Source organism: Homo sapiens, chromosome 7 (genome assembly GCF_000001405.40).
Source record: "Homo sapiens chromosome 7, GRCh38.p14 Primary Assembly".
NCBI lineage: Eukaryota > Metazoa > Chordata > Mammalia > Primates > Hominidae > Homo > Homo sapiens.
The window spans coordinates 875,143-896,632 of record NC_000007.14 but is presented as its reverse complement, the minus strand read 5'-3'; the positions used below and the strand labels follow the sequence as shown (position 1 = coordinate 896,632).

The window sequence follows — 21,490 nt, the reverse complement described above, 5'->3', positions numbered from 1 at the left end:
AATTTTGATGAAATTACACAAAACTTATTTCTAAAATCACAGCCAAGTGAACGTGACTTCCTGATAGCCCTCTGCTCCGTCCACGCACGGGCAGTCTGGCCACAGGGTACGCCTCCTCTGGGGGCTCCCAGGCACAGCCCTGAGAGCAGAGAGAGATCCCCCACACCAGCGCCCAAGAAAGGACCAGCGTTGCACAGCCCGGTAGAAAGGGTTTATTTATGCGCAACGGTTCACACAAGCCTTCCTGAAATTCCACTTTACAGTAAATAAAGCTGTGCGTTTCCCCTTCCCATGCACAACTGCGTATCAATCTACAACTGTCATTTAACTGTGAAAAAATAGAGCGTCTCCCCTTTTGTCATCGTTCTGGTAACATTTGGAGTAGCATCTGACAGAACGGAGCTGCTCACTCCTGGACCGGTTATTTGGTTAAAACCCAAAATGTTAGGTCGAAAGAATCAATCATCACCCAATACAAATAAATATTGCGTTATGAAAGAGACGGGCAGAGTCCCACGGTATCCCTTTTTAAAGCGGCATTTCCAGCACAGCAGCGTGGCGCTCACAGAGACCAGCAGGGCGCAGCTCTGGGATGCCACATGGGACACAGCTGCAAGTACCCGTAGGCACCGTCCCGCCGCACGCGTCCCTCCACCGAGCGTGAGGATGTGGCGCAGGGCACGTGCACTCCGTCTGCGACGGGGACCGGTTCGTCCTGACTGCAGAATGACCCCGTGTTCAAAAACAGCCGCTCCCATTTGCAGACCACATGGGCCCTGGCTGGGCTCTCAGGTCCGAGGGCCAGCACCTGCTTTGGTGACCGCAGCTGTGCCGGACGCCCGGCAAGGAGCGTGATGTGCGCAGCCCCCCGAGGACGGGCCTCCTGTGCTGCCCATCAGCCCTCCCGAAAGGACCCAGAACAAAGGAGTGGGAGAGGGTGACGCCGCGGTAAGGCCTGTGCTTTATTGTGGGTCAATCTCGGGGGACGCGGCGGCCAGCAGGGGCGACGCCCCACTCTTGGGTCCCAGCAGCACAGTGAGCAGCAGCCGCGCCACCCTGAGCCGCCGCACAGAAACAGACACGCGCCGGCATGCGGCCACCGCCAGCCTCAGGGCCAGGAGCCCCCAAGGCGAGGAGCCACCCAGGACTCGCCTCTGAAACGTCCCTCCAGCCGTCGTCGACCGTGGTGTCTCCACGTGGCCTGGCCAGTTCAGTCCAGCTCGATGGGGCTGCCGTCGCTGGGGCTCTCCTCCCCATCCTCCTGCTCTGAGGAGCCCATGAGGCTGGTCAGAAGGTTCCCTGGAAAGAAGAACACCGTGGCAGTCACGCCTGGGCAGCCTCCCACAGGCCCCCAAGCCCCTCCTTCCCACAAACGTCTCACAAGGTGTCCCAGTGTCCCATGGAACAAGCAAAAGCCTCACATCGCTACTGTCTACGACCCAGGAACCCCGGGACAGGACACTCTGGAGGCCAGGGAGCCGACGACCACAGAGATACTCAAACATGGAGCAGCCACGGGGGACTCCACAGAACGGCCCTCCCACGTCCACCAACGGGGCCATGGAGCAGCCACGGGGGCCTACAGAACCACCCTCCACACCCACCAACAGGAGCCACGGAGGGACCTACAGAACCAACACCACCTCACGGAAAGAGATTTTTGAGCAGAGAAGTGGGGCTGTAGAGCACACTGCGCCCTACAGTGACACATGAATCAACTGGATGTGCCAAAGCTTCAACGGCTGCTCCCACAGGGGCCAACTGCGGTCACTGTCATCTGATTTTTATCCAATCAACAACTACTCTGTACGTACAAAGCCAAAGCTCCAAAAGTCTCCTGAACCCAAACGAGACGTTACACCGTGTTCTTTGAATACAAAGACACGGCCGTGGCAGTGTCACCCTCTCTTATCCACGACGTCACCCCATCTCAGGACACGCCCTGACGGCGCTTCTGTGGAACGGGAGCTCAGGCTGCGGTTTCGACTGGAGAGTCAGAAGAGTCAGGGCGCTCCTGACGGGTGTTGGGGTGGAGGTGCCTGTGTCACGGGGCACGGTGAGGGCCAGGGTGTCTGGGGGGGGCATCCGGGGAGGACAGGGCCTGCCACAGGACGCAGCTGCACCAGGGCAGACATCTGTGGGGAGAGGTCACCACCTCACACCTCCCACTAAAATAAACCCAGACAGGTGACGCTGGGAAGGCAGGCGGCTCAGTGAGGGGCCTCTCCCGCGGTGCCACGAACCACCACCCACAGTGAGACACCCGCCCCGCCGCGACCCCAAAGCCACGGCAGCACTGCCTGCCCCAGCACGACGGCTGGCAGCGTCCCGGGCACACCAGGCTCACGGAGGCCACCTAGCATGGCGCACAGAGAGACGGGGGAGCACGCAGCCAGCCACGTGATGTGATCCCTGCCAGGAAATGGAAGACACCTCAGGGATGGGGAGCTCTGGAGTGGAGACGGGGCTGCGAGCCACCGTGCCAGAATTCTCAACTCTGAAATCTAATAATTTCCTACTAACAAAAGTAAACTGAGAAACATTTAAAAGATCAGAAAACCACTTCCACGTGAAGGACCGCACTGGACCTGCCTGGGCAGAGATGATGACCCCACACCGACCCAGGGCTGGAGTGGGTGTGACAAGGGCGCCCCGGCTTACCGAGCAGGCCCCCGTAGGAAGACGTCTGCTTGGGCGGGACGCCGAAGAACAGCTGTCCTATGCGGTCGAGGTACTGCAAGGCACAGGCAGCGGGCTCAGAGGGGGTGGACCCAGACCGTGGGGTCCCCTCCTCCCTCCCCAGCCCCAAGCTCTCACCTCGTTGTACATGGGGTCCCGCCGGAGGGATGGCTGGTACTGCTCACACAGCACAGTGAACACCGTCAGCTTCCCACTGGGACAGAGACACACAGGGATGTGCTGGGTGAGCAGAACAGGACCACACTCACCTGCACAAACCACCGCGCCTGCGCCCAACACTCACCTGCACACACCACCACGCCCGCGCCCAACACTCACCTGCACACACCGCGCCCATGCCCAACACTCACCTGCAACCACCACGCCTACGCCCAACACTCACCTGCACACACCACCACGCCTACACCCAACACTCACCTGCAACCACCATGCCCGCACCCAACACTCACCTGCACAAACCACCGCGCCCGCGCCCAACACTCACCTGCAACCATGCCTGCACCCAACACTCACCTGCACACACCACCGCGCCCACGCCCAACACTCACCTGCACACACCACGCCCACACCCAACACTCACCTGCAACCACCACCACGCCCGCGCCCAACACTCACCTGCACACACCACCGCGCCCGCGCCCAACACTCACCTGCACACACCACCGCGCCCGCGCCCAACACTCACCTGCACACACCACCACGCCCACGCCCAACACTCACCTGCACACACCACCGCGCCCGCGCCCAACACTCACCTGCAAACACCACCACGCCTACACCCAACACTCACCTGCACACACCACGCCTACACCCAACACTTGCCTGCACACATCACCACGCCCGCACCCAACACTCGCCTGCACACACCACCACGCCCACACCCAACACTCACCTGCACACACGCCTACACCCCTCACCTGCAAACACCACCACGCCCGCCCCCAACACTTACCTGCAAACACCCAACACCTGCACACACCCAGCAACCCATGCCACGTCTATACCCAGTACACACACCTGCACACCCCCACAGCTACCCACACGTCTACACACAACACACATACCTGCACGCACCCCAACTACCCACACCAGACACGCAACACCTGCACATACGCCGTCTACACCTGCACTCACACCTGTATACACGTCTACACACCCCCACACCACATGGATACCCAACACCCGCACACAACCCCCCAGACGTCTGCACCCACACCACCCCACACCTGCACACACCCACACTACCAGAGGCCCAACACCTACACTCCCCCACGCCATGTCTACACTTGCACATACACCCACACAGCTACCCGCACTACCATGTCTACACCCAACAGACCTGCACACACACCTATGCCACGTCTACACCCAGCACTCATACCCTATGCATATACCCACACGGCTACCCACACCATGGCTACACTTGCACACACACCCACACAGCTATCCACACCACGTCTACACACAACCCGCACATTCACAGCCCCCTCCCCCTGCAGGATCCCAAGACGCACCCGTCCACAGCCAGCAGCAGGAACCAGATGAAGTTAAGCAGCGGCTCCACAAACGGAGGCCCGTCCTCGATGGACGGGTGCTTCTGGGTGTACGTCGTGAAGACCACCGATGCGCTACTTTTGTTTTTTAAACAGAGAAACCTGGAAATGAGAACATGCTGGTGGTGGAAGGGCTGGAGGACACAGCTTCTGCCCGCACAGGCGCCGGCCTCCGACATGTCCTTCCCAAGCTCGTGCGCCCACGGTTCCTGCGGCCCAAGGCCATGGAGGGACCCAGTGCTTCACGCGTGTCTTCCCTCATGTGCAGGGCACACCAGGGAAGCCTGCAATTCACAGGTGAAGAGAATGAAGCTTGGGAATGTGACCAGGCTCTGGAGCCGGGCCCCAGCCTGAGCCCTGACTACGTGACGCACTGAGCAAGCTCTCCTCTCCTGAGGCCGCCCGCACCGGTCAGGCGCTGGCCCGCACCAGAACACTCCGCCATGGCCCAGCAGCTGGTGGGTGCCGCACAGACCCTGGCTTCTGTTCGAGGACCCACAGGGAGGGCTCAGTGCCCCAGGGGCAGGGCCCCTGTCAGCCCAGAGAAAACATGTACACGGCGTAGCGCAGAGCCAGGGAGCTCTGGGTTTGACCCAGCTTTTCACTTAAGTCACGGACGCCAGCTCCTGGCAAAGCTCCGCAGCGGGCAACGCTGAGGTCAGAGGATGTCTGTCCCCAAATCCTACATCAAATCCCCAACGCCCGCCTTGAAATCCATATTTGTTCTGTGGGAAGAAACTGACGGGCACAAGTAAGGCTTTCGTGAGAAAGGAAGCGAAGGCCAGCCCCTGGAGCAGGCAGCGCCCGGAGCCTGGCCTGCAGGACGCCCCAGCGAGCTGGCGGGAGGGACCACGCAGGAGCAGACAGCGCCCGAGCTGGCGGAAGGGACCACGCAGGAGCAGACAGCGCCCGGAGCCTGGCCTGCAGGACGCCCCAGCGAGCTGGCGGGAGGGGCCGCGGGGTAGATGCTCACAATTCCACGCATTTCCAGATAGTGCGGGAAAGAACTGGCCGAGGCAGGCCTGAGTACAGCAGAGACCACAGGGCCTCCCGGCAGTGGGCGAGAGGCGAGGGGCGTGTGTAGGGCACTCCAGTGCCCGTCGGGAAAGGGGGAGTTTCTAAAATACTTCTTAACATTGGTTAAACTTATGAAAAATCATGGGTCAGGCTGACAAGTGCACTGTGGGCTCTGCCCAGAGTGAACTCAGTTTATCCTGCAGCTCGGCTCGGACAGGGGACAAGGGGACCTGTTCTAAGGCTGCCCAGCCAAGGCAGCAATGGAAGCCGAGACCCGAAGAGCCACAGACACCTACTGTAGCACGGCCTGGGCCACGAACATGTCCACCTCGCTGCGGAAGCCGCGGGACGTGGAATACTCCACCAGCATGTTGGCACAGCCCTCCCCGTCCGCTGAGTGCAGAAAATGATACCTCGACTCACAATAGTTTTGTTCTGCAAAGGAAAGACAGAAAAATGTAAATACATTTCACGAATATAACACAGAAAAGGAAAGGGGGAAAGACACTCCATGTTAATTCTAGCCCACCTGCCCGCCCTGGAGGAGAGCCCAGCCAGAGCCCACAGGCAGAGGTCCTGATAGGGACTCAGAGCCAGCCCAGGCCTCACACGCAGCACCAAATCAACAGATCCACGGGGAAAAGTCACTCAGCTATGCAACATCTTGATTCTCCAAGCTCTTGGAGCTGCTTAATCCAACTGCACTAATGTTCGTTGTGATAACCAATTAGTGTTACCATGTGACCCTTCTCACCTACCAGAAGCAACTTACAGGGCGCAATATAATCAGGGCCCAGGCCAGTGCACCTCGGATGTAGATCAACAGCAGAAACCAGCCTGATGTTCTCACCACACTGACCCAACAACCAACCCTCAACATCTCATGAACACACACCACTCCCAAGCCCGTCCTAACACCCGCTCACACTCCCTCCACTCCCAGGCCCGTCCTAACACCCGCTCACACTCCCTCCACTCCCAGACCCCGTCCTGACACCCGCTCGCACTCCCTCCACTCCCAGACCCCGTCCTGACACCCGCTCGCGCTCCCTCCACTCCCAGACCCCGTCCTGACACCCGCTCACGCTCCCTCCACTCCCAGACCCCGTCCTAACACCCGCTCGCGCTCCCTCCACTCCCAGACCCCGTCCTAACACCCGCTCGCGCTCCCTCCACTCCCAGACCCGTCCTAACACCCGCTCGCGCTCCCTCCACTCCCAGACCCGTCCTAACACCCGCTCGCGCTCCCTCCACTCCCAGACCCGTCCTAACACCCGCTCGCGCTCCCTCCACTCCCAGACCCCGTCCTAACACCCGCTCGCGCTCCCTCCACTCCCAGACCCCGTCCTAACACCCGCTCGCGCTCCCTCCACTCCCAGACCCCGTCCTGACACCCGCTCGCGCTCCCTCCACTCCCAGACCCCGTCCTGACACCCGCTCTCGCTCCCTCCACTCCCAGACCCCGTCCTAACACCCGCTCGCGCTCCCTCCACTCCCAGACCCCGTCCTAACACCCGCTCGCGCTCCCTCCACTCCCAGACCCCGTCCTAACACCCGCTCTCGCTCCCTCCACTCCCAGGCCCCGTCCTAACACCCGCTCGCGCTCCCTCCACTCCCAGACCCCGTCCTAACACCCGCTCGCACTCCCTCCGCTCCCAGGCCCGTCCTAACACCCGCTCGCCCCAGACCCCGTCCTAACACCCGCTCACACTCCCTCCACTCCCAGGCCCCATGCATGCCTTGGGAGCCCAGCCCTTCTCGTGGTGCAGATCTCAGCACTCACCAGGCGCCTGCCTCTCCCACCTAGTGGGCCCTTTCCTGACTGCGCTGCCCAACAGGAGCCTCCAGGGCCCTCCCGCTGCCTTTGTGGCTGCCAGAGTCCTCGTCCCCTTGCTTTGTCTCCTGCTGTCTCCCTCCACTCCCAAACCTTTACCTATGGGTGTGATTTCATCCCCAGGAGGGAAGCACCAGGGAAGCACATAGCCCAAGTGTCATGGAGCCCAGGCCTCAGGTCCCGTATGGAGCCTGTGCTCAGGACTGCAGAGGCAGTGCGTGGCCACCTTGCCGTGGAGCAGGCCTGGGCTCCCCGGGTGAGGTCCATCAAAGTCCCACAGCACCGTCACGGTGTCGGGGACCTGGGCCCGCACCTACCCCAGTGGGAGGCAGCCAGGGCCCCTCTTCAGGGGATCTCTGCAGATGCGCCGAGCGCAGCCCTCCCATGCACTCCCTGGACGGCCTCAACCTGATCCCGTGGTGGGTGGGGAGATGAGACACGTACATCCCTCCTTATGATCGCTTGTACCCATCTTAGGAGCTGCCATGCAGGTCTCCTGAGTACTGGGCATGGGCATCACCTGTCCCACGCCACCCACTGCCTGGCTCTCCCCACAGGGCCCGTGCGCAGGAGTGGCGAGGGCGGCCACCCAGTGTTGACGCATTTGTTCCTGACTCATCCGAAAGACAGACGACAGCTCCCGGGCAGGGGGTGGGGGCAGCTCCTGCCTCCCTAACCTGGCAGTGGGGCCCACGCAGAGTGGCAGTTCGCTATGCAGGACACAGGAGGGTTGTCTGCGGCCGTGTTCTGTGTGGAGCCATGCTGGCTGGGGGACAGGTGGAGTACGGAAGGCCTGCTGTCGCCAGAGGCCAGGGAAGGCGGCAGCAGGTATGCTCCAGGGGCCACGGAGGCACCAGCCTGGGCCAGCCCCTTCTGAGGAAGGAGGCGACCACGGGGAGACTGAGGCAAGAGATAGGCACTGGCTCATCTCCCTGTGGGTGCCCCGCCACTCGGCACACAGCCAGGACCGGGTTCCGCCAGGCTCCTCTGAGGAGAGCCTCCTAATTCTACTTGGATTTGCTCACTTCCCATTCCTGTCGCTCAGGGAGAAGGTCGGGAAAGCCTGCCAGGTGCCTGAGGGCGCCGAGCCTCCTGTCACAGCCCAGGCGGAACCTGCATGACCAGGAACAAGGTCGGAGGTCGGATGGGCATGCGTTTCGCATGACCAGGGACAAGGTCGGATGGGCTGCTGATGTGTGCAGAGTACGTGGGCCCTCATGCAGCTGCTCCCGCGCCACACTGTGTCTAGGAGGAGCTGTTCCAAGCTCAGCAATCCGGAACTCTAGAGCAAAGGCCTTCAGCCTAGATCCAAGTTCCTAGAGCTTCCAATGCGGGGGCTGCCCTGGGTGCCGCCTCCCCACCTGCCAAGCCCAGGCACATGCAGACCCGAGCAGGCCTCCTGACGCCTGACGGCAGGAAGGAAACCATCTCACAGCGCTGGTGCCACTTGCCATCCCAGGGAATGCCCTGGGGAGGACGCTTCTAAACCCCCATTAGCACCTCGTTCAAGTCACTCAATGAATATCTACCCAGCACCACTCCCGCCTCAGAGCTGCAGACCTGGAACTAAAAACACCAACCACACCACGCAGACAGCCAGACCCCACCACAGGGTGATTAATCCCCGCAAAGGCTTCATCAGAAGATGAGGTCAGCGTAAAGGAGAAAAACAGGGCACAGCACCATCCCAGCGCTGGAAAGAATGTTCCAGAAAGGAGCAGCAGCACGCATAGGCCCCGTGAAGGCACGGCTGCCTCCCTGAGGGTCAGAACGTCCCACGGGAAGGCCTGGAGAGGCGGCCGCCTGCCCCCCTTCTCGCAGCTTCTCGGGTGCAGTGGCTCTGATCCCGGGCTTAGCATGGCGCATGGGTCTCCATGGACCGGCCCGCGTGACCACAGGGTGAAACCCCATCTCTGCCCTGGTGGGTGACCCTGATGTATTGGAACGCACAGTGCAAATCAACGCCGAGAGCAGAGAGGTGCCCACGCCTGCCCTGGCCCCAGGCCTACCTTTCCACAGGGTGAGGGCCAGCAGCTGGTGCAGCCGGGGGTGGCCCAGCTTCCCGGAGCCCCCACTGGACCACTTCAGGGCTCTGGACACAAAGGTCACGCGCTCAGGAGAGTTGGGGTCCATCAGGCTGAACACTTTAGCCAGATTTTCTGCAAACAGCACAGACCCTCATCAGAGGAACGCACGGCCACTCCGGCTCTCTGTCCCACATTCCCCACAGAAGTGGATTTCCATTCGCAACTACTTAACAGGGAGAGGAACCTGCTGGGCGTCCCTGAGTGAGCCGTGGACCACCACACTGAGCTGCCCACCGCAGTTCCAGCGCCATGTGCCCCAGAGCACAGCGAGGAAGGAAGGACGGACGCCCTGGCCGAGGCGGGGGCTGGGGAAGGTGCCGTGGGGAGCTGGAGTCCAGGAACAGCTGTGGCCGCTCTGGGTACCTGGCTCTGGCCCGGGGCATCTCCCAGAGCAGCAGGGACTAGGAGTGGGACTTGCAGCCAGGCAGCTCACAGAAGGGCTCTGCCAACCGCACGTCACCCGACAGGACAGGCCGACAAGCCAAAGTGGTGCCCCACCTTGCCAGCTGGCGGGGAGGCCACTGTCCATCGGAGCAGTGGAGAGGACAGGGCCCCAGTCATGCCCTGCCTACGAATCACAGCAGGTCCTGCTCAGCCTGCCGTGTGCTCGCGCCAGGGTCAGCCAGGGGGCCTGGCTCACTGAGACCGGGTGGGAACTGCCTCTGCAGCAGAGTTCACCCCACAGCACACAAGACCCCCAAACGCAGACACGAAACACAGCGCAGAGACCCGGGGAGGGGCGTACTGGGGCCGCTGTCACAGGGTCCCGGGGTGAAGGGCCGGATGCTCACCCAGCAGCTCGTCAGCCACCTCCACTTCCGCCTTCTCCAGGGACTCCAGGACCAGCATGGACAAGTCTGCTGCACTGTTTTGCTACAAGAGAAAGCAACACACAAGAATCAAGAACAAAGCCCTGACCTGTTCAGGACAGCAAAGACAAGGCTGGGTTTCCAGCAGAAGCCAGAGTGCGGCCGGTGCTGAGGAGTCTCTTCTGAGCACCACGTCCCTTGGCAATGCCGCCGAAAAAGAGAGCTCCTGGCCGAGAATCACATGAAAATGGACGGGGACGTTTATACCAACACAACGCCCTCTCAGCCCCATCGTGCACAAACGCAGCGCAGAGCCCCAGTCTTGAGAGTGGAGCAGCCAAGCCAGGGGGGACTCTGGGCCCCTCTGCCACCCACAGCCCCAGTGGCCGAGGCCCAGGGCAGCGCAAGGTTGCCCATCAGTGGAGGTGGGAGGTCATTCCCACCTCCACTTGCCTGCCCGGAGCAGAAAGGGATGCAGGAGGAAGCAAGACGGCTTACCTGGCCATGGCTGAAGAAGAGCAGGGCTCCCGAGTACATGAGCTCCCGGGCCTCCGTGTGCTTGCTCTGGGACATGTACCTGCCACAGAGAGGAGACCGTGAGCCACGCCCACGTGCCCTCGCCACCGCGCTCCCCCGCTCATCTTCAGGTCAGAAGCTAAAAACAAGGCGCCCAGGAACAGGTGGCATCCTAAAAGCAGCCGCTCCCAGGGCCCAGGTGCTGCGTGGAGGGGGTCTATCCTGGGTGTCCTGCTGACCATGAGGGCTGCATGGGGCGCCTCTGGACACTAAGGGCCTATCTGTGTCCAAATACACCAGGAGCCAGAAAGCAGCCTCACCCTGGAGCAGCTCACCGGTTTCAGTAGCTGGGACCAGAAAGGCCACTGGGCAGGGCAGGTGCGCAGGGAAGGAGCAGGGGATGTGCATGTGGCCACCTGAGAGCTGAGTGGCCACAGGCAGGAGCCAAAGGATGGGGGGCTCCAGGCTGGGGTCCCACGGGGGACAGTAACGGCTGTGACAGCACCTTCTTCCCCCACGGGGCCAGTGTCCCCGCCCTCTGCCCCTCTGCGTGCCACACCCCTCCCCCCACGGGAGGGAAGGGTCTGGGGTGCCCCGTTGCATCATGCTCGCCCTGCATCACGTCCCCACTCCCAGAGCACCGCTGGCAGGGAAAGCTGGAGCTCCTCAGGCCGCACGGGGACAGAGGCACGGGGTGGCGAGAGGTATGGTGGGGACCAGCGCGTGACAGACGATGTGGAGAGAAGCCGAGATGGCCGCACTGCTGTAAGCAGCAGAGCCCCTGCCTGCGAGAGCAGCAGGCGTGGAGGGCAGGAGGCAGCCTCTGCTTGGATGCGCTGCACCTCCCAGTCCAGTGGTGGGGCCCAGAACATGTTATTTCATTGGCTACACGTTTTTCTTAATGATCGCTGCCTTATTATCAAAAGATACATAACGAGTTAATCAGCTCTGTGCCTGCGAGCCAAATGTCCTTGGACAAAGCCTTGTTTAAAAATAAATCTAGTTAAAGAAAAATACTAAGTAAACAGCAGTGCACACCGGATTCGGGGGCTCACACCTGTAATCTCAGCCCTTTGGGAGGCTGAGGTGGGAGGATCGCTTGAGCTCATGAGTTTGAGACTGGCCTGAGCAACATAGTGAGACCCTGTCTCTACAAAAAACACAGAAATTAGCTGGGCATGGTGGTGTGCACCTGTGGTCCCAGCTACTCGGGAGGCTGAGGTGGGAGGACTGCTTGAGTCCGGGTAGTCAAGGCCGCAGTAAGCCATGATTGCACCACTGCCTAGACGGATGACAGAGCGAGGCGCCATCCCCCCAAAACAAACAAACAAAAACCAATTGCAGTGGAGGTGATAAAGAGCCACAGCAACGCCACTGAGGACCAGAATGACCTTGGTGTTGCCAGGACGGGAAGGCCAGCCGAGAACGCAAAGGGTTGGATGCTCAGTTAACCACAGAAAAGGGCTCCTCTTCAGAAGGCACCACAGCCAGGGACCCCAAACACAGACAGCCCCGCCACATCCGGGCATCTCATTAGCCTGGCACACAGGCCCTCCCCCCACAGGAGACCGCTTCGTGCTGCACAGAGGCAGGGCACCAGGAGGGAAAAGCCCGCACCCAAGAGAGAAAGTGCCCCCGCACCCCCGTCAGCCTGCAGGCCGTTGGCAGGCCTCCGGTTTTGCTGTGCTCCCCGCACAGTGAAGGTTCTGGAGGGAGACCCACCCCAACACCACAGCAGGAGCCTCGACAGGACCACTGACTCTGTGACCGGCCGTCCTAGTTCCAGTCCTGCAGGGACATGACTGACTCAGAGGAGGCCGGGAGCCGTCTGGCACAGGGCACTCTGGAAAAACAAGCTCCCAGACACGCCTGGCCTCACGATGCCGCCAGTGGGGCCACGGGCAGAACCGCATGCACCGACCCTGAGCAAGCACCACACCAGCTTCTGCTTTGCCGATACTACAGCGTTCTGGATGCTTCTATCTGAGGTAAAGCAAGAGGTGGCGACTTAGAAACCAGAAGAAAAAAAGGACTCCCTGGAAGGCAGTGACCCATATTCCTGCACGAGGAGCCTGCTCTGGGGGGCACTGCCGATGGTCACGGCCCCCGGCCTGGTTTGGACTGCGCCTTGCAGCCGGCTCCCTTCTTCCCTGGGCAGCTGGGAGCCGGGCAAGGGGAAAAAGGACGGGAGGAGAATTCTGGGCACACAGTGGTCCCCGGCCTGGCTGGGGGCACCCGTTTCCAGGTCCAGGAATGCCGGTGACAGGCAAACCGTCTAAGGCGGCTCTGAACGTGGACGGCTTCTCCTCCTGTACTGGAGAATTCTGGAAGCTGCGAAGGATTTTGGTTTCCAGGTGACTAAGCCAGGACAGGTACCCTCTCAAGCCCGAGGCCGGGGAGAGTGGGGGGCAGCTGGGCATGGCCGGGCCTTCTCCCGGCCCGGCTCTGCATGCTGCGCACTATTGGCCGTGCCATGTGGACACCCAGACGTGCCTTCCAGATAGGGAAATGGCTTCTGCCTGCTGACAGGCGCTGAGAGCCAGTGAGCGCTGGTGCTCTCTGCCGGCCAAAACATCTGTATCCACAGAGCAAAGTGTCTGGGCAAACAATCTAGCTGATTTTGCTCTTCTCTTACAAAAACATTAAAAAGCAGAACACAGAAACGCAAGCATTAGAACTAGTGGCCGAGACTGTCGGTGTCAAATGAAGAAAGACCGAGCTCATGGGGCGAATCCCGCCCTTCTCTCTTGGCAGACGGAAGCTGGCTTGCGCGTTCAGCTGTCAGGGACACGTGAAGGATGAAGAGGAAATACTCAAGACACACACAGGTGCCTCGGGACAGGGGGCCAGAGGAGATTTCACAAGGACCCCTCCGCCGACTGCCGCGAGCTAAAGCGCACTCACGCCCGGACGCAGGGCTGGCTGGACGCGCCTGTAAGGAGGGCTGAGGCCTGCTCTGCTCTGCCAGGAGTCACTCCGAGAAGGGACCTGAGCCGGCAGGTACAGCTCCTTCACAAGACGCTCCTCTTAGGCCCTGGGCTAGGGGTGCACCGCACACACTAGACCGTTTTCCTTTTAAAAATCTCTTTAGATGACTGAAGAGACAAAAGAAGGTCAGAGGCCGCAATAAAAAAAATCACGCAAACACACTGCAGGAGGAGCCAAGTGGCAGGAAGAGCCAGACCCACGACCGTGTGGGCAGACAGGGGGACAGCTGCTGCAGGTCACAGCCTCCTGGGCTGTGGTCTCAGCCACACCAAGTTTCTAAATGCCAATGTACAAATACTACAGCCAAGGCTGAGGCTCCTCAAGACCTGGATGGTGGCTCCGAAGTGCCCCAATAATCCAGTTGGCCTGGGAGATGACTCCCCGTCCCAGCAGGGAGAAGTCTGGAGAAAGCAGGTGATGACCACAACCCGCGCCATCCCCGGGGCAAGGTCGGCCGCCCACAACCCGCGCCATCCCCGGGGCAAGGTCGGCCGCCCACAACCCGCGCCATCCCCGGGGCAAGGTCGGCCGCCCACAACCCGCGCCATCCCTGGAGCAAGGTCGGCCGCCCACAACCCGCGCCATCCCCGGGGCAAGGTCGGCCGCCCATAACTCGCGCCATCCATGGGGCAAGGTCAGCTGCTCTCTAGCGTAACCAGATGAACCAGGTCAGTTTCTCTCTAGCGTAACCACACGAACCAGGAACTGCTGCCCGACTTCTGCGGGGCACATATCCAAGGACACCAACCTGCTGGGTTCCCAATTCCTTCCCTCTCCTTCACCTTCAACTGCTGTGGCTGTGAGTTAAAATGGCATCTCTTGGGAACGCTTGTACCTGCTGGTGGGAGTGTAAATTAGTTGAACCATCCTGGAAAGCAGTCTGGCAATTCTTAAAAGAACTAAAAACAGAACTACCGTTCGACCCAGCAACCCCACTACTGGGTTATGTCCAGAGGACTCTAAATGGTTCTACCATGAAGACACACGCACTCAAATGCCCACTGCAGCACCACTCACAACAGCACCGACATGGAATCAAGCTGGGGCCTGTCAGCGGCAGACGGATAAAGAGGATGTGGTCCATATACACCGCGGAATACTATGCAGCCATAAAAAGGAACAAGATCATGCCCTTTGCAGGAACTTGGATGGAGCTGGAGGCCATTATCCTTCGCAAACTAATGCGGGGACAGAATCCCGGGCACTACACTTCCCCACTTACAAGTGGAAGCTGAATGATGAGAACACAGGGACAGAAAGGGGCCAACAACACACACTGGGGCCGGCCTGAGGGAAGAGGGAGAGGCTCAGAAAACCATTTTAACAAAACTGTCAGGTACCCATGCTTGGTACCCGGTGCTGAAATGATCTGTAGGACAAACCCTAGTCACTAGTTTACCTATATACCAAGCCTGCACACAGACCTGAGGCTAAAATAAACATTAGCATATTTAAAAATAAATCAACAAAGCCTGCACACCTGCCCGAGGCTAAAATAAACATAAGAATATTTAAAAATAAGTCAACAAACAGTATCTTTTGGTAAATTTACCCGACAGCTGAAGGGATAAACAATTGTGCTGGAGACACACAGGGAAAACCACTCAGCGATAAAAGGAACTGCGGACGCTCCAGGAGGAGTCTCCCAGCCTCCGTGGTGAATGAATTCAAGCGGTTAGACAGAAAGTGCGCACTGTGATTCCACATACGTAAAACTCCAGGAAACACCACCTCACCTAAGTGCAGCCCGCAGATGCACGGGTGCCGGGGATGGGGTGGGGTGGGGTGGGAGTGGGGGCGAGGAGGCCTGGTTGCAGAGCCCCACAGTGCCGTGGTATCTTCTGTGTCTTGACTGGTCATAGTTCATTCATGTCAGACCTCACCAAATTATACATTTTACATAAATATTTAAATGTAAATGTGCAATTACATATATTTATTGACATAAAAGCATTTTAAAAAATGGCTGGGTGCTATGGCTCCCACCTATAATCCCCGCACTTTGGGAGGCTGGGGCGGGCGTATCACCTGAGGTCAGGAGTTCGAGACCAGCCTGGCCAACAAGGTGAAACTCCGTCTCTACAAAAAATACAAAAATTGGCCAGGCGTGGTGGCGGGCACCTGTAGTCCCAGCTACTCATGAGGCTGAGGCACGAGAATTGCCTGAACCCAAGAGGCAGAGGCTGCAGTGAGCTGAGATCGCGCCACTGCTCTCCAGTCTGAGCGACAGAGCAAGACTCTGTCTCAAAAAACAAAAAGCGTAACTTGGGGAATGTGACTTCTCTGGCGGCGATACACCCATGGAATACTCTGAAGCAGAGCTGGGAATCCACACGGAATTCTACCCTGGAAAGACAACGACAGTGTCTCAGTGGGTGACAGCGAGGTGACAGCTGCCGCTGCTGACTCAGTCTTCATTCCTGGCTTGAAAGGCTCCAAGCCAAGGTTTGAGAGGTTCAGTAACGTGTCCCGGGCCCCGTAAGAGGTGGCGTGTGACCCCAAAGCCCAGGCTTTCCGAGCTAAGCCACACCGTGCCCCTGCCAGGTGACCTCACGATGTCACATGCGGCCAGCAGGGCCTGCTGTCTAGAGGGCTTAAGGGAGCAGAATGCTCATCACCCCCCGTTTCACTGTGAAAATTCACCCTTGACCAGGGACTCATCACTGAAAACCAAAACTGACAAATCCCTCGTCACCGTAGAAGTGGCTCAAAACAAGGAACACTGTGTTTATTTCGGGGGAGATCCATTTTTGCTGGTTAATCACTGGGCAAATATTTATTTATTTATCGAGACAGAGTTTCTCTCATCGCCCAGGCTGGAGCGCAGTGGCGTGACCTCGGCTCACCACAACCTCCGCCTCCTGGGTTCAAGCGATTCTCCTGCCTCAGCCTCTGGAGCAGCTGGGATTATAGGCATGCGCCACCACACCCAGCTAATTCTGTATTTTTAGTAGAGACAGGGTTTCTCCATGTTGGCCAGGCTGGTCTTGAACTCCCAACCTCAGGTGATCTGCCCGCCTCGGCCTCCCAGAGTGTTGGGATTACAGGCATGAGCCACTGCGCCCGGCAAATTGGGCAAATATTTATATACAAATTCCTAGGCACGGCAGGCATCAGGGTGAATGCTGAACAACATAAAAGTTCCCCATCACACAGCTCTATGGCTGGCCCCTCTACCCACGGGAAGGCTCGCGTTGTACGGTTTAGTGCCTCCTGACACCTTTGCCTTGATCCCTGAAGAACAATCGGGTTGAAGGCGCTATCACAACCCGTGCCATTTGGGAGCTGCTAAATGTTCAGTGACAAATTCAACTGGCATTAAAAACGTATTGCTATAAACGTCATGCATCAAAGACTTGTTTCTTCCAGAGATAAAATTAGTAGTTCCATCTAAGGAGGAACGCGAATCTCTTTCTAAACCAATTAAACAGCTCAGTTTTCAAAGAAGAAAAGCATCTACAACACAACAGTAAAATGCGATGTAGCCTGGCTGGTGTGTATTTATACTATGTTGAGGTTAATAGAAAATTCTGGAAACAAGGCTGCCCTTCAGGTCATGTAAGATGTCTCCTCATAAGCCACGATCAGGGGCCCACATGCACTGTCCTGAGCCCGGGCTGCTCAGTAGGTCCGTACAAACAATGTGAACACTAAACACAGATGCCAGGACCTCATCCCAGCCCGTTCAGGTCAGCTAAGATTGACAACTACCGACACAAACACTCCTCTTTTCTCATTTCCTGGCACAAACAAGTGTTTTAAGCAACGAAATGGCATCCACTCCGTGGCTGGGGCTGCTGAGTCCACCTTCGCTTGGGCTCACCAGCACGTGGCACCGCGGCGTGCCGGCCACTCGCTTACCCAGGCTACATTCCAGCCAGCGGGGCGCAGGCACAGGTTGGGCGTGACAGACGGTGTTTAATTCAAACATGAACTAGCAAACTACAACCAAAGTGGCACCTCCAGAGTTTTCCAGGTAACAATTCCACTTGCTATGGAAAGAAAATATTTAAAATCTAGGCCCAGCAGAGGGTCTTCAGGGAGTGGAGCTGCACTGCGTGATGCTCTCATGGGGTTCCTCATCCCCCCACACACCAGGCATGCACCCCGATGTGAGTGATGGGTCCCTGAGGGACTCTACTCGGGGGGGGGTGTCTGTGGGGCAGGAGGCTGTCCAAAGGGGGAATTCAGGACACACCACACTCCATTTTGCTATAAACCAAAAACTGCTCTAAAAAGTAAAGTCTACTGGCCGGGCGCCGTGGCTCACGCCTGTAATCCCAGCACTTTGGGTGGCCGAGGTGGGCGGATCGCGAGGTCAGGAGTTCGAGACCAGCCTGGCCAACATGGTGAAACCCCGTCTCTAGTAAAAATACAAAAATTAGCCGGGGGTGGTGGTGCGCGCCAGTAATTCCAGCTACTCAGGAGGCTGAGGCAGGAGAATATAGCTTGAACTCGGGAGGTGGAGGTTGCAGTGAGCCGAGATCCCACCATTGCACTCCAGCCTGGGACAGAGGACAGAGCGAGACTCCGTCGCAAAAAAAAAAAAAAAAAGTTTATTAAAAGGAAAAAACCCCTGAAAACCAGGCCCAAACTGTATAAAGGCCAGACCAACTGCCCTTAAATACAATATCAAAACATTCACGGCCCTGTGGCAGTTTAGAAGGTACCCCATGGAAAATACTAAATCCTCTGAAATGATCTTTAAAACAGACCCAATTCCTAGTGACTGGCCAGACTGTTCCCTGACCTGAACCATAAGAGATAATCTGATATGCATAATTTACAGAATGCCACACACAGAACAACTGAACATTCTGCAGTAACTGTATGACAGCAAAAATACTGGAACAGAGCAGTCCTGAAGACAATCAACCAAGCCACGCAGCAGCCTGGAACTTCCAAGCGGTCACAGTCCCGAGGGGCGTGCAGTTAACCCAGCATAGCCAGCTCTGCTCGCGCTCGCCCTCCAGGCTACACCGGCCGTGCAGGTGTCACCGAGCCTAGGTCCAGAGGCGGCTGACTCGGTTCGGCAGGCCGGGCGGCGTCAACAGAGAAGCGGTTTCACCCTCAGCCTGGACCCTCGGTGAGAGGAACGCCAGCGACTTCCTACGGAGCCCGGTGTAGGGCCCGGCTGGAGAACCTGAAGGCCAGGAGGAGGGAGGCAGGGAGGTGGGGGAATGCGGAACAGGTGGAGGCCAGGGGGGAAGGTGGGGGAGGCAAGGGGCAGGCCCGGAGGGGTGGAGACAGAGGAAGGGGAGGGGGAGGCCGGGCAGGGAGGCCTGAGAGAGAAAGGCGGGGGGCCGGGGGGGAAGGTGAAGATCTGGGAAGGCCACGGGGAGGGGAACAGGTGGGGGCCAAGGGAGAGGTGGAGGGAGGTGGGGGAGGGGCGGTGGAGCCGGAGAACAGGGAGGGGGAGGCCGGGCAGGGAGATCTGGGACAGGGAGATATGGGGTGGGGAGCAGGTGAAGGCCCGGCGGAAGGAAGCGGAGTTGGGGAGACTACGGGAGAGGTGGGGGAGGTCCAGGGGAGGTGGAGGCTAGGAGAGGGAAGCCGAAAGGGACGAGGACAGTGGTAGGCTGGGGAGAGAGCCGGGGTTGGGGGCAGCAGGAAGAGAGAGAGACGGGGGGTGGGCAGAGGGAGGACAGGGAGAGAGGCGGGGGGCAGAGGGAGGCAGGGTAGAGAGACGGGAGTGAGGGCAGGGGGAGGCCGGGGAGAGAGAGACGGAGGGAGCAGGGGGAGGCTGGAAGAAAGAGACGAGGGGCAGGGGGAGGACGGCGAGAGAGAGACGAGGGGCAGGGGGAGGCCAGGGAGAGCGAGGCGGGGGGCAAGGAGAGGCCGAGGACAGAGAGACGAGGGGCCGGGAGAGGCCGGGGAGAGAGACGCAAAGGAAGAAGGAGAAGGCCAGAGAGAGAGAGAGAGAGAGCGAGACCAAGGTGGGGCGGGGGAGGCGGCCGGAGAGAGACAGAGACCGAAGGACGAGGCGGGAGGCGGCCGAGGAGACAGAGGAAGGCCGAGGGGCGTGTGGGGACGGAGGAGGGAACAGGTGGAGGCTGGGAGTAGGGGAAGGCCGAGGAGGAACGCAGGAGAGGGGAAGGAAGCCGAGGCGGGAGTCAGAGGCCGAGGGAACGGGGGCGCCGGGCCACACAGGGCCAGACCCCGGAGACGCGGCCCAGACCCTCCGCCGGGCGACCCGCGGCCCCTGGGTCCAGCTCGCCCCCGCGACGGGCAGCGGCGCGGCCCAATGGGGGCGCGGGGCGAGGCGGCGCGGCCAATGGGAGGCGGCGGGGGCGGGCGCTGGGCTGCGGCGAGGGCCGGGCGCGGGTACCTGAAGAACAGGGTCCGGTACATCTGGTGCGCCTCGTAGTAGTCGCCCTTCTCGACGCTGGCGCGCAGCTTGCCCTCCACACGCTGGACGCCGCCGCGGTTGCGGCCGCCGTTCCGGGCGCTCTCCTGCTCGGCCATCGCCGCCGCCGCCGCCATCGGGCCGGCGCTCCGCGCAGGGCTGACGCTGTCGCAGGCGCGGTCGGCAGCGCCTCCCGGCTTCCGTCCCGACGGCCGCCCGACGCCCTTCTACGGTGGCCCGCGAGGAGTCGCGCGCAGTCGGGGGCGGGCGCGCCGGCTAGCTGCACGTGACCTGGGGCGGGTCCGCAGGCAACACGTGACCCAGGGGCGGGTCCGCAGGCAACACGTGACCCAGGGGCGGGTCCGCAGGCAACACGTGACCCAGGGGCGGGCCCGCAGGCAACACGTGACCCAGAGGCGGGTCCGCAGGCAACACGTGACCCAGAGGCGGGTCCGCAGGCAACACGTGGCCCAGAGGCGGGTCCGCAGGCAACACGTGGCCCAGGGCGGGCCCGGGAGCGGCACGTGACCCGGGGCCGGGACTGGCTCGCGCCACAATGGCGGGTGGCACGAAACTGCCTGGCGGGGCGCTGCGCGTAAACAGGCTGCGGCGGCGGCTGACCCCGAGCAGGAAGCGTCCCGGGGTGGGACCCTCCCCACGCGCGCGGTGTAACAGCAGCCATTGAGCTATACAGTTCAATGTGTAAAATGCTTATAAATTAAAAATACTTTTATAGGGCCGGGCGCCGCGGCTCACGCTTGTAAACCCAGCACTTTGGAAGGCCGAGGTGGGCGGATCACCTGATGTCAGGGGTTCGAGACCAGCCTGGCCAACATGGCGAAACCCCGTCTCTACTAAAAATACTAAAATGAGCTGGGCGTGGTGGCAGGCGCCTCTAATTCCAGCTACTCGGGAGGCTGAGGCAGGAGAACTGCTTGAACCCAGAAGGTGGAGGTTGCAGTGAGCCGGGATCCCACCACTGCCCTCCAGCCTGGGTAACAGAGCCAGACTGTGTCTCCAAACAAACAGAAACAACCTCTTAGGATCGCTGAGGGGCGTTCCTCCTCTTTGAAAGGCCACCTGCGGTCCTTCCCTGGCCGTGGCTGGGGACCTGCGGCTGTGCCTGGGTGGACGGCTCACTCCTCCAGGATCGGGTCCTGCTGGAAGGGGGAACTGGGTCGGCCTAGAGCTTCCAGCCCTGTCAGGCTGCGGAAACGGGGTCCAAACCCCAGTCAGAGTTAGAAACGGGGCCTGAGGCCCAGCCCTAGCCGTGCAGGGTTGGGAACGGCTTGGCTGTAAGAATTGGGGTTTGAAGGCGGTTCGCCGTTCGGTCCGAAGACTCCTCCGTTGGATTTACAGGGTCAGCCCACTCTCACAGGTTAGCATTGTTTATAATAAAAAAGAAGAAACAAAGGCCTTTAAGCTGGGCCCTGCTTGAATCAACATGATCCAGCCGTGCATACAATGGACAAAAACAGCTGTTAAAAAAAAAAAGGTTCTTACGGGACACACTTGGTAACTGGGGAAAAGCCAGGTGCAAAATAGTGTGGTGTGTGTGCTATCGTCTGTGACCTGGTGCCAGCACCTGCCTTCAGCTACAGAAGCAGCGATGAAAACTGTGTCCTGAGGAAAGGCATCAG

General features: G+C 59.8%; 1 protein-coding gene across 1 annotated transcript, besides 9 other annotated features; it reads right to left on the bottom strand.

Moving 5' to 3' along the window:
• Positions 1-196: 196 nt before the first annotated feature.
• Positions 197-20,079, bottom strand: GET4 (guided entry of tail-anchored proteins factor 4). Its single transcript, NM_015949.3, has 9 exons — positions 19,833-20,079; positions 10,499-10,577; positions 9,983-10,064; positions 9,114-9,263; positions 5,567-5,705; positions 4,215-4,355; positions 2,818-2,893; positions 2,662-2,734; positions 197-1,299 (listed from the first exon to the last, which is right to left on the bottom strand). The coding sequence occupies exons 1-9, from the start codon at positions 19,985-19,987 to the stop codon at positions 1,211-1,213; spliced, it is 984 nt and encodes a 327-aa protein (NP_057033.2). The 5' UTR covers positions 19,988-20,079; the 3' UTR covers positions 197-1,210.
• Positions 3,406-3,605: a silencer, noted in NCBI's record as "fragment chr7:932665-932864 (GRCh37/hg19 assembly coordinates)". NCBI's record gives its function as "represses an EF-1alpha promoter that drives an FKBP-Casp9 reporter gene in an ReSE screen in K562 erythroleukemia cells {active_cell/tissue: K562}" and the evidence as "EXISTENCE:reporter gene assay evidence [ECO:0000049][PMID:32094911]".
• Positions 8,888-9,057: an enhancer, noted in NCBI's record as "experimental_100798 CRE fragment used in MPRA reporter constructs". NCBI's record gives its function as "activates a minimal promoter by MPRAs in K562 erythroleukemia cells, with activity observed for the introgressed 7:927298 or rs79351189 variant allele {active_cell/tissue: K562}" and the evidence as "EXISTENCE:reporter gene assay evidence [ECO:0000049][PMID:34662402]".
• Position 8,972: a transcriptional cis regulatory region, noted in NCBI's record as "Neanderthal adaptively introgressed variant 7:927298 (GRCh37/hg19 assembly coordinates) or rs79351189 in the experimental_100798 CRE". NCBI's record gives its function as "modulates activity of the experimental_100798 enhancer by MPRAs in K562 erythroleukemia cells {active_cell/tissue: K562}" and the evidence as "EXISTENCE:reporter gene assay evidence [ECO:0000049][PMID:34662402]".
• Positions 9,582-10,295: an enhancer, noted in NCBI's record as "H3K27ac-H3K4me1 hESC enhancer chr7:925975-926688 (GRCh37/hg19 assembly coordinates)". NCBI's record gives its function as "activates a minimal SCP1, AML or CMV promoter by ChIP-STARR-seq in naive and primed H9 embryonic stem cells {active_cell/tissue: H9 hESC(naive and primed)}" and the evidence as "EXISTENCE:reporter gene assay evidence [ECO:0000049][PMID:30033119]".
• Positions 10,296-11,009: an enhancer, noted in NCBI's record as "H3K4me1 hESC enhancer chr7:925261-925974 (GRCh37/hg19 assembly coordinates)". NCBI's record gives its function as "activates a minimal SCP1, AML or CMV promoter by ChIP-STARR-seq in naive and primed H9 embryonic stem cells {active_cell/tissue: H9 hESC(naive and primed)}" and the evidence as "EXISTENCE:reporter gene assay evidence [ECO:0000049][PMID:30033119]".
• Positions 11,815-12,571: an enhancer, noted in NCBI's record as "H3K4me1 hESC enhancer chr7:923699-924455 (GRCh37/hg19 assembly coordinates)". NCBI's record gives its function as "activates a minimal SCP1, AML or CMV promoter by ChIP-STARR-seq in naive H9 embryonic stem cells {active_cell/tissue: H9 hESC(naive)}" and the evidence as "EXISTENCE:reporter gene assay evidence [ECO:0000049][PMID:30033119]".
• Positions 18,480-18,529: an enhancer, noted in NCBI's record as "active region_25476". NCBI's record gives its function as "activates an Ori minimal core promoter by ATAC-STARR-seq in GM12878 lymphoblastoid cells {active_cell/tissue: GM12878}" and the evidence as "EXISTENCE:reporter gene assay evidence [ECO:0000049][PMID:35858748]".
• Positions 19,419-19,558: a silencer, noted in NCBI's record as "silent region_17824". NCBI's record gives its function as "represses an Ori minimal core promoter by ATAC-STARR-seq in GM12878 lymphoblastoid cells {active_cell/tissue: GM12878}" and the evidence as "EXISTENCE:reporter gene assay evidence [ECO:0000049][PMID:35858748]".
• Positions 19,609-20,498: a silencer, noted in NCBI's record as "silent region_17823". NCBI's record gives its function as "represses an Ori minimal core promoter by ATAC-STARR-seq in GM12878 lymphoblastoid cells {active_cell/tissue: GM12878}" and the evidence as "EXISTENCE:reporter gene assay evidence [ECO:0000049][PMID:35858748]".

Coding starts and splice junctions, on each gene's coding strand:
- GET4 (NM_015949.3), bottom strand. CDS start 19,987: ATGGCGGCGGCGGCGGCGATGGCCGAGCAGGAGAGCGCCCGGAACGGC. Junction 5,706..9,113: donor GGCCCTCACCCTGTGGAAAG/GTAGGCCTGGGG, acceptor TTTCCTTTGCAG/AACAAAACTATTGTGAGTCG. Junction 1,300..2,661: donor TTCCTACGGGGGCCTGCTCG/GTAAGCCGGGGC, acceptor TCTTCTTTCCAG/GGAACCTTCTGACCAGCCTC.